Source organism: Homo sapiens, unplaced genomic scaffold, assembly GCF_000001405.40.
Source record: "Homo sapiens unplaced genomic scaffold, GRCh38.p14 Primary Assembly HSCHRUN_RANDOM_CTG42".
NCBI lineage: Eukaryota > Metazoa > Chordata > Mammalia > Primates > Hominidae > Homo > Homo sapiens.
The window spans coordinates 83,308-98,431 of record NT_187513.1 but is presented as its reverse complement, the minus strand read 5'-3'; the positions used below and the strand labels follow the sequence as shown (position 1 = coordinate 98,431).

Here is a 15,124-nt window from a genome sequence, read left to right as displayed (position 1 = left end):
TTTATTGCATCTATTTGATTCTTCTCTCTTTTTTTCTTTATTAGTCTTGCTAGAGGTCTATCAATTTTGCTGATCCTTTCAAAAAACCAGCTCCTGGATTCATTAATTTTTTGAAGGGATTTTGTGTCTCTATTTCCTTCAGTTCTGCTCTGATTTTAGTTATTTCTTGCCTTCTGCTAGCTTTTGAATGTGTTTGCTCTTGCTTTTCTAGTTCTTTCAATTGTGATGTTAGGGTGTCAATTTTGGATCTTTCCTGTTTTCCCTTGTGGGCATTTAGTGCTATAAATTTCCCTCTACACAGTGCTTTGAATGCGTCCCAGAGATTCTGGTATGTTGTGTCTTTGTTCTCATTGGTTTCAAAGAATATCTTTATTTCTGCCTTCATTTCCTTATGTACCCAGTAGTCATTCAGGAGCAGGTTGTTCAGTTTCCATGTAGTTGAGCAGTTTTGAGTGAGATTCTTAATCCTGAGTTCTAGTTTGATTGCACTGTCATCTGAGAGATAGTTTCTTATAATTTCTGTTCTTTTACATTTGCTGAGGAGAACTTTACTTCCAAGTATGTGGTCAATTTTGGAATAGGTGTGGTGTGGTGCTGAAAACATGTATATTCTGTTGATTTGGGGTGGAAAGTTCTGGAGATGTCTGTTAGGTCCGCTTGGTGCAGAGCTGAGTTCAATTCCTGGGTTTGCTTTTTGACTTCCTGTCTTGTTGATCTGTCTAATGTTGACAGTGGGGTGTTAAAGTCTCCCATTATTAATGTGTGGGAGTCTAAGTCTCTTTGTAGGTCACTCAGGACTTGCTTTATGAATCTGCATGCTCCTGTATTGGGTGCATATATATTTAGGATAGTTAGCTCTTCTTGTTGAATTGATCCCTTTACCATTATGTAATGGCCTTCTTTGTCTCTTTTGATCTTTCTTGGTTTAAAGTCTGTTTTATCAGAGACTAGGATTACAACCCCTGCCTTTTTTTGTTTTCCATTTGCTTGGTAGATCTTCCTCCATCCTTTTATTTTGAACCTATGTGTGTCTCTGCACGTGAGATGAGTTTCCTGAATACAGCACACTGATGGTTCTTGACTCTTTATCCAATTTGCCAGTCTGTGTCTTTTAATTGGAGCATTTAGTCCATTTACATTTAAAGTTAATATTGTTATGTGTGAATTTGATCCTGTCATTATGATGTTAGCTGGTTATTTTGCTCGTTAGTTAATGCAGTTTCTTCCTAGTCTCGACGGTGTTTACATTTTGGCATGATTTTGCAGCGGCTGGTACCAGTTGATCCTTTCCATGTTTAGTGCTTCCTTCAGGAGCTCTTGTAAGGCAGGCCTGGTCGTGACAAAATCTCTCAGCATTTGCTTGTCTGTAAAGTATTTTATTTCTCCTTTGCTTATGAAGCTTAGCTTGGCTGGATATGAAATTCTGGGTTGAAAATTCTTTTCTTTAAGAATGTTGAATATTGGCCCCCACTCTCTTCTGGCTTGTAGGGTTTCTGCTGAGAGATCCGCCGTTAGTCTGATGGGCTTCCCTTTGAGGGTAACCCGACCTTTCTCTCTGGCTGCCCTTAACATTTTTTCCTTCATTTCAACTTTGGTGAATCTGACAATTATGTGTCTTGGAGTTGCTCTTCTCGAGGAGTATCTTTGTGGCGTTCTCTGTATTTTCTGAATCTGAATGTTGGCCTGCCTTGCTAGATTGGGGAAGTTCTCCTGGATAATGTCCTGCAGTGTTTTCCAACTTGGTTCCATTCTCCCTATCACTTTCAGGTACACCAATCAGATGTAGATTTGGTCTTTTCACATAGTCCCATATTTCTTGGAGGCTTTGCTCATTTCTTTTTATTCTTTTTTCTCTAAACTTCCCTTCTCATTTCATTTCATTCATTTCATCTTCCATCGCTGATACCCTTTCTTCCAGTTGATCGCATCGGCTCCTGAGGCTTCTGCATTCTTCACGTAGTTCTCGAGCCTTCGTTTTCAGCTCCATCAGCTCCTTTAAGAAATTCTCTCTATTGGTTATTCTAGTTATACATTCTTCTAAATTTTTTTCAAAGTTTTCAACTTTGCCTTTGGTTTGAATGTCCTGCCATAGCTCAGAGTAATTTGATCATCTGAAGCCTTCTCTCAGCTCGTCAAAATCATTCTCCATCCAGCTTTGTTCCGTTGCTGGTGAGGAACTGCATTCCTTTGGAGGAGGAGAGGCGCTCTGCTTTTTAGAGTTTCCAGTTTTTCTGTTCTGTTTTTTCCCCATCTTTGTGGTTTTATCTACTTTTGGTCTTTGATGATGGTGATGTACACATGGGTTCTTGGTGTGGATGTCCTTTCTGTTTTTTAGTTTTCCTTCTAACAGACAGTACCCTCAGTTTCAGGTCTGTTGGAGTTTTCTAGAGGCCCATTCCCGACCCTGTTTGCCTGGGTATCAGCAGTGGTGTCTGCAAAACCGTGGATTTTCATGATCCGCGAATGCTGCTGTCTGATCGTTCCTCTGGAAGTTTTGTCTCAGAGGAGTACCTGGTCGTGTGAGGTGTCAGTCTGCCCCTGCTAGGGGGCGCCTCCCAGTTAGGCTGCTCGGGGGTCAGGGGTCAGGGACCCACTTGAGGAGGCAGTCTGCCCATTCTCAGATCTCCAGCTGTGTGCTGGGAGAACCACTGCTCTCCTCAAAGCTGTCAGACAGGGACATTTAAGTCTGCAGAGGTTACTGCTGTCTTTTTGTTTGTCTGTGTCCTGCCCCCAGAGGTGGAGCCTGCAGAGGCAGGCAGGCCTCCTTGAGCTGTGGTGGGCTCCACCCAGTTCGAGCTTCCAGGCTGCTTTGTTTACCTAAGAGAGCCTGGGCAATGGCCGGTGCCCCTCCCCCAGCCTCGCTGCTGCCTTGCAGTTTGATCTCAGACTGCTGTGTTAGCAATCATCGAGACTCCATGGGCATAGGACCTTCTGAGCCAGGAGCGGGATATAATCTCGTGGTGTGCCATTTCCTAAGCCCGTCAGAAAAGCTCAGTATTAGGGTGGCAGTGGCCCGATTTTCCAGGTGCCATCTGTCACCCCTTTCCTTGACCAGGAAAGGGAACTAACTTCCTGACCCCTTGCACTTCCCGAGTGAGGCAATGCCTTGCCCTGCTTTGGCTAGTGCACAGTGCACTTCACCCACTGTCCTGCACCCACTGTCTGGCACTCCCTAGTGAGATGAACCCAGTACCTCAAATGGAAATGCAGAAATCACCCATCTTCTGCATCGCTCATGCTGGGAGCTGTAGACCGGAGCTGTTCCTATTCGGCCATCTTGGCTCCTCCTCCCATTATTTTTTAATATTTTCTGAAAATCTTCTTTAAAGAGAGAAAGCCAAATGTCACCCACTTTTTCATAAAACCTTACAGGCAAATCTATTATTCTTTTCTTTTTTGAGATGGATTTTCCCTCTTGTTGCCCAGGCTGGAGTGCAATGGTGCGATCTCGGTTTACTGCAACCCCCTGCCTCCCAGGTTCAAGTGATTCTCCGGCCCCAGCCTCCTGAGTAGCTGGGATTAGAGGCATGCCCCACCATGCCCAGCTAATTTTGTGTTTTTAGTAGAGACGGGGTTTTTCCTTGTTGGTCAGGCTGGCCTTGAACTCCTGACCTCATGTGATCCACCTGCCTCGGCCTCCCCAAGTGTTGAGATTACAGCTGTGAGCCACTGCCCCGGGCCATTTTTTTTTAAAGATAGCGTCTTGCTCTGTCACCCTCCTCACCACATTATAGCTCTGGGGGCCAAGCTGCATCACAATGGAAATCATGGAGCCACAGGAAGAATCCACTTAGCTTTGCAAGATGCTGCCCAAGGGGTTGCTTGGAGTAACCAAATTAACATTTTTCATTCTGCTCAGAGCAAAATATATGTGACAAAACATAGACACGAGCCACTTTGCTTAGCACCCAGTGTCAAACTGGTAAGACTCAAACTTGCTCCCAGATAGGCCATGCCATCTCTAAATCTTTTTAGAAGCTTCTGCATGTTAATAGGCATCCCTAGATGAGACTAATTTGGGAGCCATCATTTTTAAATGCACTTCAGGGCATTATTCATTTGGAATGTTACACTATAAGTTATCTTTAGTAAGATTTTGCCATTTCTGTAAGACTTTGCTGCTTCCCAGGCCTAATGAATTAGCCAGAAAGAACTTAGTTTTCCAGAAATTAAGGATCCTATTTTTACCTAATATATTGGCTTTACTCTCAGGTTCCCTTGATTGACTTAGCCAATGATTTTTTTTCCTACCTAAGCGTGTGAGGAAAATGAAACAAAGGGGCAGAACACAAAAATCCCCGTGAATTTCCAAAAGCCAAATTTTACAACCCTCCAATATTATCATTTACTACCACTTTCCTTCTGACCCATTCAGATGTAGGAGGCCTCTAACTGGAACTGGATTCAAGCCAGTTAATTACTGGATCAAATCTGATCCTGGACCCGGTCCCGTTTCTGTCATAACTTCTAAAACATCCAGCCAGTCATGGCTGGATAGCAGTTTGGAACAGAAATTTGCTCAGAGAAACTCAGCTCAAAACACAAATTCATGGAGCTCTGAAATCCGAGAGAGAATTTACCACGATCCCCAGATGCTCTGAGAGGTCAAAGGGCACAAGTGTTACAGAATCCTGAGGCGTCACTTTTCTGCCTGAAACCTCTGGCTGGTGGCGCCTTTACCTGTGTTTTGCTCGGGCCCACTGGGTTCGTTCTGTCCACTTGGCTCATGCTAGTGGTCTGGATCCCACACCTGCCAAGGGTGAGCTGGGTACAGAGCAGTGAAGGGTGTGTGAGCAAGCGAGCATGGGATCTGGCCACTGCACACAGCCAAGCATGCCAGCTGCAGTGGGGTGGGCAGCTCCAGGCACCGCCACAGGTGCCAGCTCCCTGTGAGGCTGCAGCTGGACCAGGCTGACTGCAAACAGCTTCCACTGTGGGTATCAGGGAATGCAGCGGTGCCTGGAAGCTTCGAGATGCAGGAACTGCAGAGCCCCAAATAAGGTGTCACAGCCCTGGCTTGGGGAGCTCCTAGGTCTGGGCTCCCTGAAGGGCCACAGCTCTTCTCTCCTTCTCTCTTCTCTTCTTCTTGCCTGCAATTTGGCAAGCAAGGGGTGCATTTCAGCCCTGTTTATGTTACACCTCTTTCAGCCCTGCTAGTTGGCAGGTCCCAAGTTCTTGTCCTGAGTCCAGGAAGAATGAGGTATGTGGGCAAGTAGAAGGTGAGCAAGGTGAAGAGGTGCTTTATTGAGCAACAGTACAGCTCAGAGGAGACGTGCAGTGGGTAGCTCCTTTCAGCAGGCAGGTCATCCCAATGTCTGTTCAGCTCTCAGCAGCTGAGAGAGATGCATGGTGGTTAGCTATGCCCACAGTGCCCAGGCTTTTCGAGCTGAGGAGTGCCTTCAAGCCAGTGCTGAGCCACTCTTAGCCCCACCTCAACGTCCCTCCTGTGCTCATCCGTTCCCAAAGTGTGGAGGGGGCCGAGGTGGCAGGGGGCTGGCATGTCAGCACTGCCCTGAGCTTGCACAAACTGGGCTGGGTTGCGACTGTGCCTGGGTTCAACCTCAATTTGGATCCGAAGTTGGAGTGGGCTCTGGGAGCGGAGACATGCCAGGTGGTGGGAGCAGGTATGACTGGGCCTACGGGGGCAGGGGGGCTTGCTGGGCCTCTGAGAGTGCAAAGATGCCCGGGCTTGCTGTCATGGGTGGATGGCTGCAGCTGTGCCTGGGAGGGTGGGGCTCCTGCCTGCCAATTTAGAAGGGGTGGGTCTCTCACCTGTTCCTGGCTCCCACTAACTTTGAGGAGTTCACAGCCCCAGCCACTCCTCCCCACTGCAGCCAGTGTCTCTGTAGCAACTGCTCCACATGGGCCACTGCTGCCATCATAGAGCGGTCCTTGCAGGTGCCTTTCTTGTACCTCAGCACTCCTGAGGGTCATTAGAAGCCCTAGCAACACTGCTCACCACACTATAGCTCCGGAGGCCCTAGCAGTCCTGCTCCCACAGATCCCACTTCTGACACCATCTATTAAAAGAAAATCTTCAGCTGAATTAAATTTAAAGGAACTTAATTGAGCAATGAATGATTCACGAATCAGGCAGCCCCCAGAATCACAGCAGATTCGGTGAGACTCCAGCACAGCTACATGGTGGAAGATTTATAGACAATAAAGGGAACGTGATGTACAGAAATCTGAAGTGAGGAGTGAGGTCCAGAAGCAACTGGGTCCGTTACAGTTCTCAGCAGTGAGGTCCAGAAACAACTGGACTGGTTACAGTGCTCAGCATTTGCCTTATTTGAACACAGCTGAACACTCAGTAGTGTGTGAGTGGCAGAAGTTTGGCTGTTGGGATTGGCCAGGACTCAGCTATAGTTACAGGTGCATACTCCAAAGTTAGGTTATCAGTCTTTCTACCTATTAAGTTAGGTTGCAGTTTGTCCACAGGGACTCAAATCTAGAAGTACAGAGTCCTTCCCAGGCCATATTTAGTTCACTGTAACAGTTCCTATTATTACCTCACTGACAGTTCTTTTTCTCTGAATTTTCCTTTCTTCTCAACAGCTTGTCCAAATGTTCCATTGGTCCCTGTTCATCCCGCCCTGCAGCTCTCCTTGACTGATTCTGCTCTTTGTGGTTTGCAGTCCTGTTTCTCTACAGCTTGGACCCCTTCAATCTTTCCATCATAGGTTTAACTCTCTGTTGAATTCTTATTTGTAGCTACGCAAATGTTACCTTAAGCTAAAAAAATTCAAAGTGAAAGCCACATCCTCCTCTCTTCCCTTATGTGTATGGTATTACTACCATGCAGCCAGTGACCCAAAATGGGATTTTTTCTGGGCTTTTCTTGCTTAGATTCAGGCTCATCTGGTGTCAAGCCTTGTTACTTTTGTTTCCTTGTTCTTTTATTTTTAATTTTTTTTCTTTTGAGACAGAGTTTCACTCTTGTTGCCCAGGCTAGAGTGCAGTGGTGTGATCCCGGCTCACTGCAGCCTCCACCTCCCGGGTTCACGCAGTTCTCCTGCCTCAGCTCCTGAGTAGCTGGTATTACAGGCGTTTGCCACCACGCCTGGCTAATTTTGTATTTTTAGTAGAGATGGGGTTTCTCTGTTTTGATCAGGGTGGTCTCGAGCTCCCGACCTCAGGTGATCTGCCCACCTCGGCCTCCCAAAGTGCTGGGATTACAGGCCTGAGCCACCGTGCCTGGCCTGCTTGTTGTTTTCATCTCATCCTGATTTCTGAATACAGGAGAGGAGCTGAGTTGGTGTTCACTAACAAGCACAGAAGCTTTGTTACATTTACAGTGTCATTCTTGGCAAAACCTGAATGGTATGTTTGTGGGGTGATGAGTTTCAGTCCCCTGTGACCTGTGCATCTGGCCAACACTGTGGTGACATCCTTAGGAATCCATGGGGAGAGACAAAGCATTCAGGAGTTAGTGGGTCACGTTTGACAAGGGCCAATAAAGAAATATGCAAAGACAAAAAACAAGAAGAACATTATCATATTTTATACCTTTTGTTTATATAAATTTATGTCAATGATTCTAGCTTATGTTAATATGCAATGTATACAATATGCTAACATATACAATATATGTTTATAGTTTAAACATTTCTGTCATGTTTTCAGATTCTTTAAAGATTACATTACACTTCCTATTTCAGATAGCTGTTTAAAATGAGTAAGGAAAAACGGATGTGTGCATCAGTTCTAACTGTTTATGGACTAAAACTAGTTGATTTCTTGGTTAAGAACAAAAAGTGACAACCTAATTAACTGAAAATTTTAAGTAGGCAATTATGGTTTTAGCTTTAATGTAAAATATTAACTATGCTCCATTCTTGCATTTTTAACCTAATACTCAATATAAATCGCCACATGCCATGTTTCAGATCAAGGTTCTACTTGTGATCTCTCATGAGTTTTTCAAGGTTTTAATTATCTGAGATGTAACAATGTACCCGTAACCTTACTGGCTTAAACCAGGAATTTATTCTTTTTACATGTCACAATTTTCTGGGTCAAGACACTGGACAGAGCGGTGTGGGTTGGTTGCTTCATGATGTCCCTGGTCTCATCTGGAAGGACTCTAGTGGCTGGAGATGTGAAGCAGGCACCCAGAAGGACTCTAGTGGCTGGGAACATGGAGCAGGCACCCAGCCCTCTCTTTGTGGCCAGCACGGACTTCCTTCCAGTCTGGTAGCATCAGGTAGTCAGGTTTGTCTGGCTTCTCCCAGGGTGTGTGTCCAAGAGGCCCAGGCAGAAGCTGTAAGGTCTCTCATGATCATCCCTCAGAAGTCCCAGAGCATCTCTCCTGCCACACTGTCCAGTTGTACTCATCACTGAGACCAGCCATGATTCAAGGGGGAAAGGTGATTAGATTCCACCTCTTGATGAGAAGCATAGTAGGAACCTGCAGCAGTCTTTAATAAACCACAGCTTGTCCTCTGGCCACAAACTATTAACGTTTCTCCCACATGCAAATTATGCTTTGCCCCTCTAAAGAGCCCCAGAATGGTTTTCCTTATGGCACTGGCTAGTAGCCCAACTGAATCCTGAATCAGGTTGTGGTGGCTTGTCATCTGCACCCACACACACTCAGCTGCAGTGAGGACTGAATCAGGTTGTGGTGGCCTGTCATCTGACCCCCCACACACAGCCACAGTGGGGACTGAATCAGGTTGTTGTGAGCTATCATCTGAGCCCACAAACTCAGCCGCAGTGAGGGGACTGCTGTGAAAACAGTCGACATTTCCCTTTAGAAGCTTTGGTGGGAGGCAAGAGGGAAGTACTGCCCTGCAGGCCCCGTCTAACAGTTGGTCATTCCCATGGGGCGCCTGTTACAGTTCTGTGATTAGTGCCCAGTCCTGGTCCCTGAAAACGGTGCCCAGTCCTGGTCCCTGAGAATGGTGTTTGTGTCCTTTTACTCCTCCCTCTGGGCTTTTGTCATTCTCCATGTTCTTTTTCCTTCAGTGCCTGGGTTGCCGTTGACCAGCTTTCCCTGCCTTTTTCTTATGGTCAATAGGGTATTCAATGGCTTCTTTTTCATTTTTTTCCTTTTCTTTTCTTTTCTTTTTTTTTACTTTGGCCTTTTGAGACAAGAAATTATTTCTTTATATTTTCTCTAAATTCTGTTTGAAAACTGAACCTTCTTCTTTAGATCATGTCCCTCTCCTGTCATATTTATTCAGTGACAGTTAGGGGAGGCTGGTAGCACTTTCCATGTTCTTCCCAGATGTCTCCTTAGGCAGATCCCTGAGATGGTGCAGTGCCCTTTCAGTTTCCATGTTGTGGCCATAGTTTTCCCACAGTCCCTCAGCAAGTAACTCTCAGACCTTTTCTCCAGTTTCCAATGACATTTTCTCACCGTCCTTCAGGCCCTGACCAAGAGTCTTGATGCCCTTCCAGGTTGCATGAATGGTCTCCTTGAGGCCCAGTTACAGGTCAGCCTCACAGTCGTGTCACATATTGTAGCTTCTGATTACCACAGCAGCTCATTTCCAGCTGCCATATTCTGTTCCAGTTATCTATTCTGAAGTAAAACAACTCATTATTACTTGTTTTTTGGCTTAGAGAGTCTTGGTGGCCAGCTCATCTCACACACAGTTGCAGCCAAGCTGGATTGTGTGAAAGCACAGTGGGGTGGTGTGCAGGGTGGCTCACTAGTGGTTGGGAGTGGATGTTGCTGGAGGCTCACTAGTTGTTGGGAGTCGGTGTTGCTGGAGGCTCAGTGGGGGATGTCAATGCGTGTAGCTAGTCATGGACTGGCCTTGTGGTTTCCATCATGAGGTCTCAGGGGAGTGGGATTTCCTGCCTGGTGACTGGCTTTCTCCTGGGTAAGTGTTCTGTTTTCTCAGCCTGGCTTCTGAAGTCCCCAAATACCAGCTTTGTCACCTTCTGTTGGCCAAATAAGTCTGTAGTCTGGTCAAGGTTTAAGGGGAATTGGTTCTCACAGAGAGAGGAGCAGGAAAGAATTTGTCACCTTTAGTCTACCAGAAATGAGATTTTTATAACAAGTTTATTCCAAATACATTCCAGTTCCCCTTGTGAATACTTTTTTGACTCACAGGGTATTTCAAAGTTTATTACTTGGTTTTCAGACATTTGAGGCTTTTCTGGATATCAATTTGTTGTTGGTTTCTAATTTAATTTCAAGTGTTCAGACAACATCCTTTGTATACTATTTCAGGCTTGAACCTTTTCTCAATCCATCGACATACAGTCTATCTTGGCACTGCCAAGTACCATTTGGGTCAGGATTTTGTCATTTAGATCCGTATTTTTCCTATATTTTTATCTGGTTGTTCCGTCAGTTACTGAGAGAGCAGTATTAATTCACCAGCTATAATTTTGGATTGTCAATTTCCTGCTTTTGTTCTGTTGTTTTTGATTCACATACTTTGAGGCTCTGTGTGTGTGTGTGTAGTTTGTGTGCACTTTGAGGCACAATTTATAATTGTAACATCATCCTCTCTGATTCTTTTATTTTTATTAAATTACCCTGTTTATTTCTGGTGATATATTTTGTTCTGAAGCCTCTTTCATCTAGTGTTAACATCTCTGTTGAAGCTTTTTATGATTAGTGTCTGGATAGCATATTTTTATGTTTAATCTGCATAGCATATTTTTTCTCATACTTTGTGTCTTTGTGTTTAAATTGTGTCTCTGTGGATGCCATATTGTTGGGTCTTGCCTTCCTCTCAGGTCTGGCAGTCTCTGTCTTAAGTAGAGTATTTGTCCACTTACATTGTAACTAATCATTGCTAAGGTTGGATTTAGGTCTGCCATTTTTCTACTTATTTTCTATTTGTTTGTTTATTTTTTTTAAGACAGGGTCTTGTTCTGTCACCCAGACTGTAGTGCAATGGTGCAATCTTGGCTCACTGCAACCTCTGCCTCCCAGGCCCAACCAATCCTCACTTGAGCCCCCTGAGTAGCTGGGACTACAGGTGCATGGCACCACACCTGGCTAATTTTTATATTTTTGTAGAGATAGGGTTTTGCCATGTTGCACAGGCTGGTCTTGAACTACTGAGCTCAAGCAATCTACCCACCTTGGCCTCCCAAAGTGTTCAGATTACAGGCATGAGCCACCATGCCTGGCCTTCGTCTGTCTTTTGATCTTCTATATATTCTTTCCTAACTTCTTTTGGGTTAAATATTTCTAAATATTCCAGTTTGATTAATCTTTTGGCTTTTGGAAATAATTTTTTATAGGCTGGGCATGTTGGCTTATGCTCATAATCTCAGCTCTGTGGGAGTCCAAGGGAGGTGGATTGCTTGAACCCAGGAGTTTGAGACCAGCCTGGGCAACATGGCAAAACCCTCTCTACAAAAAACCAAACCAAAATTTAGCCTGACATCTTGGTGTGCACCTGTAGTCCTAACTATTTGGGAGGCTGAGGTGGGAGGGTTGCTTGAGCCTGGGAGGTTGAGGCTGCAATGAGCTGTGATCATGCCATTCCACTCCTGCCAGGGCAACAGAGTAAGACTGTGTGTCAAAAAAGATCATTTTTTATAAATAATTTATAATTTCGAATTTTGGTAACAAACACATACCTTAAAATTTACCATCATAACCAGTTGTAAGTATACAGTTTTGTAGAGTTAAGAATATTTACATTGTTGTGTAGCAGATTTCTAGATTTTTTTTTATCTTAGAAAACTCTATACCCATTCAACAACTATTAATTTCCCCTTCCTTCCACCTCCTGGCAAGTACTATTCTACTTTGTGTTTCTAAAAATTTGGCTTATATACCTAGGGTTATATAATATTTGTTTTTTAAGTAGGTTCCATGTTATGTGCAGATGTGTCAGGATTTTCTTCCTTTCTATGGCTGAATAATATTTCTTCATATATATATATTTTCTCTCTCTATATATATATATGTATATTCTTTTGTTTATCCATCTATTCCTGGATGGACGTTTTGGTTTCTTCCACCTCGTGGCTATGTAATGCTCCTGTGAACACAGGTGTGCACATATCTGTTTGAGGTCCTGCTACTAGTTATTCTGTCTCTGTAGAAGTTGGATGGCTGGATCATATGGTCATTTTATTTTATTTTTTTGAGGAGCCAGTTAATATTTCCACCAACAGTGTTCAAGTGTTTCAGTTTCACCTGCACTTGTTACTTTCTGTTGGGTTTGAAGTGATGTCCCATTGTGGTTTCTATTTGCATTTCTCTAATGATTAGTGAAGTTACACATCTTCTCATATATCTCATGTATCTGTTGGCTATTTGTATATCATCTTTGCATCTTTGGATGAATGTTCTTTGTCCATTTTTTAATCACTTTATTTTGTTGTGTTGTAGCTGGGTTTTTTGGTCATGAGCATTCATTTATCTCACAGTTCATTCTTGTTACTTGGGCCAGGGTCATGATCATTCATTATCTCTCAGTTCATCCTCATTACGTTGGGCAAACAGTCATGCTGCAGGGTATAGATTATGTTATTCTGTTACTTTCAGGTAGAATTCGGGTCTAGGTTCTAATTGTTTCTAAGTTTAGATTCTGAATGAGAATCAGCAGAGGTAGACCACTGCTGCTGAGGCCTGGGGATTGCTGGGAAAAAGGCAGGAAACAGATACTGACCTGACCATGGAGGGTTTATGTTTCACGGCTCCCATCTGGGTACCCAAGGAACCTACATGTAGCTCGTGTGTGGAGAGCCTACATTGCCCACTCAAAGCAATTGAGGATGGAACAGTCTTGGGGCTGGAGCTCATTATTTGGAATGATAACCACATCTGAACAGAGAGGACCTGATAAGATGTTGTCCTTCCATGTATATCTGGGAATCCTGTGTAGGGTCTCTCTGTAAGGACAGGGGCAGTGTTGGCTCCTTGGCCTCTAGTTAGCTTCACAAGTAGTCTAGTAAAGGCTTTGCAAACTTGTCACCATCTGTGGACATTCTGGCCAGCTCTTGTTTTCACCCTACTGACTTCTTCAGACACTAGGCTTTTGCTTTAGACCATTCATGGTTTTCTTCCTCTTCAAATCAGTAATCAATAAATCGCCTTCAAGTCAATAAATTTCCACTCCTTTAGGAAACCCTGATCTTCTGGTCACACCAAGGTTTAATTAACTGGTTTGATTGTTTTTCTGTTTTCTTGGATTTTTTTTCCTTCTTCCTGGGGGTTTCTAGTAATTCTAGTTTGATGTCTCACTTTCTCCATTTTTTATTTCTTAGTTTTCTTCTGTGATTATTTTCACTGCAGCTGCAGGGCCTAATCCTGGATTGGCAGAGAACAAGCACTTACTCTGCCCTAATTGGAATCCAGGAGAGATAGCAGGTTCCCTAGTGTGAAAATGTGTTTGCTCCTCTCTGCTTCTGGTAGTCTCTCTGTAGGAGTTCTTTACGCATTCTGAATGTTCACTTCTTATGAGATACATGATGTGCAACTATAGGTTGAATGTCTCTGATCCAAAAATCTGAAATCCCAAATGCTCCAAAGTCTGAAACTTTTTGAGTGCCAACATGACACTCAAAGGAAATGCTTATTGGAGCATCTCAGACTCAGGTGTTTGAATTCGAGATGCTCAACCAGTAAGAATAATGCAAATATTACAAAATCTGAAACACATCCCAAGCATTTCAAATAAGGGACACTCAACTGGTATTTTTTTTTATTTTACAGTTTGCCTTTTACCCTGTTGGTTGTGACCTTTGAGGTACAGAAGTTTTTAGGTTTGATATATTTTTGCTTTTACTGCCTGAGCTTTTAATGTCATATCCTAAAAATTATTGACAAATTCATCGTCATAAAGCATTTTCCAAATTTGTTTTCCCTAGGAGTTTGATAGTTCTAGTTTTACATTTAGGTTTATAATTCACTTTGAATTGATTTTAACGTGGTGTAAGGTAAGAGTCCAACTTCATTGTTTTGCATGTAGTTATACAATTTTCCCATCACCACTTGTTGAAGAAACTGTGCTTTTCCATTGAGTGGTCTTGGCATCCTTCTGGAAGATCATCGGACCATATATGCCAGGGTTGGTTTCTGAGGTCTCTGTTGTGTTGGTCCATAAGTGTGTCAAGAGTGTCTTTATGCCATGACCACATTTTTTTTTTGGCTTATTGCAGTTTTGTAATTGCTTTGAGACCTTTAATTTTGTTCTGTTTCAAGATTGATTTGCCTATTCATGGGCCCTGGAGATTCCATATGAGTTTTAGGATAGGTTTTTCTGTTTATCAAAAATGTCATTGGAATCTTTATAAGGATTGTATTGAATCTAGGTCACTTCGAGTAGTGTTGACATCATTTCAAGATGAAATCATCTAATTTGCAAACCCAGCTTTTCTTTTCATTTATTTGTGTTTAATTTCTTTTAACAGTGTTTTGTAGTTTTCTGTGTTCAAATCTTTTGCCCTCTTGGTTAAGCTTATTTCTAATTTTTATAATGCTGTTGTAAATATAATTTTTTTTTTTTTGAGATGGAGTCTTGCTCTGTCTCCCAGGCTGGAGTGCAGTGGCACTATCTCAGGTCACTGCAACCTGCACCTTCCTTATTCAAGCGATTCTCCAACCTCAGCCTCTCAAGTACCTGGGATCACAGGTGCGCGCCACCATGCCCAGCTAACTTTTTGGTATTTTTAGTAGAGACAGTGTTTCTCCATGTTGACCAGGCTATTCTTGAACTTGTGACCTCAGGTGATCTGCCCACCTCGGCCTCCCAAACTGCTGGGATTGCAGGCATGAACCACTGCACCCAGCCAAATGTCATTCTTTTTAAAAATTTCTTTTCTTTTGTTTTCTCTTTCTTTTCTTTTCTTTCTCTCTCTTTCTTTCCTTTCTTTCTTTTTTTTTGAGACGGTGTCTCACTCTGTTTCCTAAGCTGGAGCACAGTGGCACAGTCTCAGCTGACTGCAACCTCCACCTTCCAAGTTCAAGCAATTCTCCTGCCTCAGCCTCCCAAGTAGCTGGGACTACAGGTGTCTGCCACTATGCCCAGCTAATTTTTGTATTTTTAATAGCGATAGAGTTTTACTATTTATATTAGAGATGGGGTTGACCCAGCTGGTCACGAACTCCTGACCTCAGGTGGTCCACCCGCCTTGGCCTTCCAAAGTGCTGGGATTACAACTGTGAGCCACTGCACCTGGCCTCTTTTTAAAATTT

At 43.6% G+C, this 15,124-nt stretch overlaps 1 long non-coding RNA gene across 1 annotated transcript in view, besides 2 other annotated features; it reads left to right on the top strand.

Annotated features, from left to right (window-relative positions):
- LOC105379566 (endogenous retrovirus group K member 18 Pol protein) overlaps positions 1-15,124 on the top strand; it is a 61,897-nt gene that overhangs the window by 11,555 nt on the left and 35,218 nt on the right. The gene's annotated exons all lie outside the window — the stretch shown is intronic.
- Positions 2,276-2,775: an enhancer, noted in NCBI's record as "H3K4me1 hESC enhancer chr1:142876679-142877178 (GRCh37/hg19 assembly coordinates)". NCBI's record gives its function as "activates a minimal SCP1, AML or CMV promoter by ChIP-STARR-seq in primed H9 embryonic stem cells {active_cell/tissue: H9 hESC(primed)}" and the evidence as "EXISTENCE:reporter gene assay evidence [ECO:0000049][PMID:30033119]".
- Positions 2,776-3,277: an enhancer, noted in NCBI's record as "H3K4me1 hESC enhancer chr1:142876177-142876678 (GRCh37/hg19 assembly coordinates)". NCBI's record gives its function as "activates a minimal SCP1, AML or CMV promoter by ChIP-STARR-seq in primed H9 embryonic stem cells {active_cell/tissue: H9 hESC(primed)}" and the evidence as "EXISTENCE:reporter gene assay evidence [ECO:0000049][PMID:30033119]".